This window comes from Homo sapiens, chromosome 5 (genome assembly GCF_000001405.40).
Source record: "Homo sapiens chromosome 5, GRCh38.p14 Primary Assembly".
In the NCBI taxonomy this organism is placed as follows: Eukaryota; Metazoa; Chordata; class Mammalia; order Primates; family Hominidae; genus Homo; species Homo sapiens.
The window spans coordinates 168,289,534-168,291,417 of NC_000005.10; the positions used below are offsets into that span (position 1 = coordinate 168,289,534).

The 1,884-nt window shown below is 47.6% G+C and overlaps 1 annotated feature.

Moving 5' to 3' along the window:
* Positions 661-740: an enhancer, noted in NCBI's record as "active region_23588". NCBI's record gives its function as "activates an Ori minimal core promoter by ATAC-STARR-seq in GM12878 lymphoblastoid cells {active_cell/tissue: GM12878}" and the evidence as "EXISTENCE:reporter gene assay evidence [ECO:0000049][PMID:35858748]".

A 1,884-nucleotide genomic window follows, 5' to 3' on the forward strand; every position in this document is an offset into this window, starting at 1 on the left:
GACCAGCCTGGCCAATATGGTGAAACTCCAGCTCTACTGAAAAATACAAAAATTAGCTGGGCGTGGTGGCGCAGGCCTGTAATCCCAGCTACTCTGGAAGCTGAGGCAGGAGAATTGCTTGAATCTGGGAGGCAGAGGTTGTAGTGAGCCGAGATCATGCCACTGCACTCCAGCCTGGGGGATGGGGGGAGACTCCATCTCAAAAAAAGAAAAAAAGAAAGTATAGGTTAATAACTGAGAACACTGCACTAGAGTCAGACCTAGTCTGTCTTATGAGCTCTGTATCCCAGGCCAACAACAAAGCATCTTGGAGCCTCATCTGTAAAATGGGTATAATAAATAGACTTTCCTATGCCAGAGGGTTGTTATGAAGATTGAGATCATGTATTCAAAGAACCTAGCACCAGGTTGGCTTTGCTTTGGGGCTACTGCTCTAATCAATAGTGGGTTTTTATGTAGTAAAGGCTTGACCCAAACAGAGGAAGTGTAGAGGGCTGTGGGAATTCCCCCATAAAGGAATGGGGAATTCCAACTTTTGGGTGTTGAGGGCCAGTCTGAGGCTGGTGTCCCTGGACTCTGGTGCCTGGTATTTATGGAATGAAGGAGGGCCAAGCACTGAGCCCCGAGGCCTGGCCTCAGGGAAGGAATTAACTATGAAGAAGGCATTTGGAGGCGAGGCTCACTCTGGTGGGTCTTTTCTGTCAAGAGGAGATGAGACCACAAACATGATTCCCTCTCTGGCTCAGCAACACCCTGGTCCATACAGCACAGGGTGCTGGTTCTTCTGGAAGACCGTGGGGCTCAGGCAAGAGAAGACACCCAACTGGGCTTCATTCGACCAGTCCAGCTTCCTGCCATATGCCGAGGGCAAAAAAGGGTTAAATTCCCACTCAGTACACAGATGTAAGAGGAGATGGGGAAGTGAACAGCCAGTTGATCATTCACTCAATCATGCTAGCTTGCTTTTTGTATTTAATGCTACATTTTAAATTTATTTATTTATTTATTTGAGACAGAGTCTCGCTTTGTTGCCCAGGCTGGAGTGCAGTGGTGCGATCTTGGCTCACTGCAACCTCCACCTCCCAGGTTGAAGTGATTCTCATGCCTCAGCCTCCCGAGTAGCTGGGACTACGGGCGTGCACCACCACGCCCAGCTAATTTATTATTATTATTTTTTAGTAGAGATGGGGTTCACTATGTTGGCCAGGCTGGTCTGAAATCCTGACCTCAGGTAATCTGTCTGCCTCACCCTCCCAAAGTGCTGGGATTACAGGCGTGAGCCACCGCACCCACTAATTCTACATTTTTAATTTCTCAAGAAACATTGTGTCTCTGATTGTTTTATTCTCTTGAACATTTTTCAAGATGGAATTTTGCTTTGCTTACTTTCTTCTTTTTCATAGCCCCACTTCTCCCAAATCCATAACACACCTACCTCAAAGTATCACAGGAAAGAAAGCCTGTGAAGCTGCTAGCCACAGCCTGTCACAAGTAAGTCCTCAATTTAGCTAACAATAACAATGGCATTACTATTACTTTTACAAAGTGTTTTCCCTGACACCCTCTGGAAGTCCTCCCAGGAAAGCGGATCCACAGCGCTCCTAATTTTAGGGACCCTGAGGGGAGCCAGCTACATTTCCAAATGGTGGGGAAGGGTGGAGGGTGGGCGAAACGTCGTAGGGAGAGTTGAATAGAAGGAGACAGATGGTGCCTGTGTTGGGGGAAGGGACCAGAGATCCTGGAAAACTTATGTTTCCCAATTCGCAAGAATGTTTCCATTTAACCACTTCTTGCCTGACTCCTGATTCTACACCACAGAAAAGCAGGGAGTTTTTAAGATTTGGGGCCACCTGTGCCGAGAGCCTGGCTACTCCGGGTGGAGAG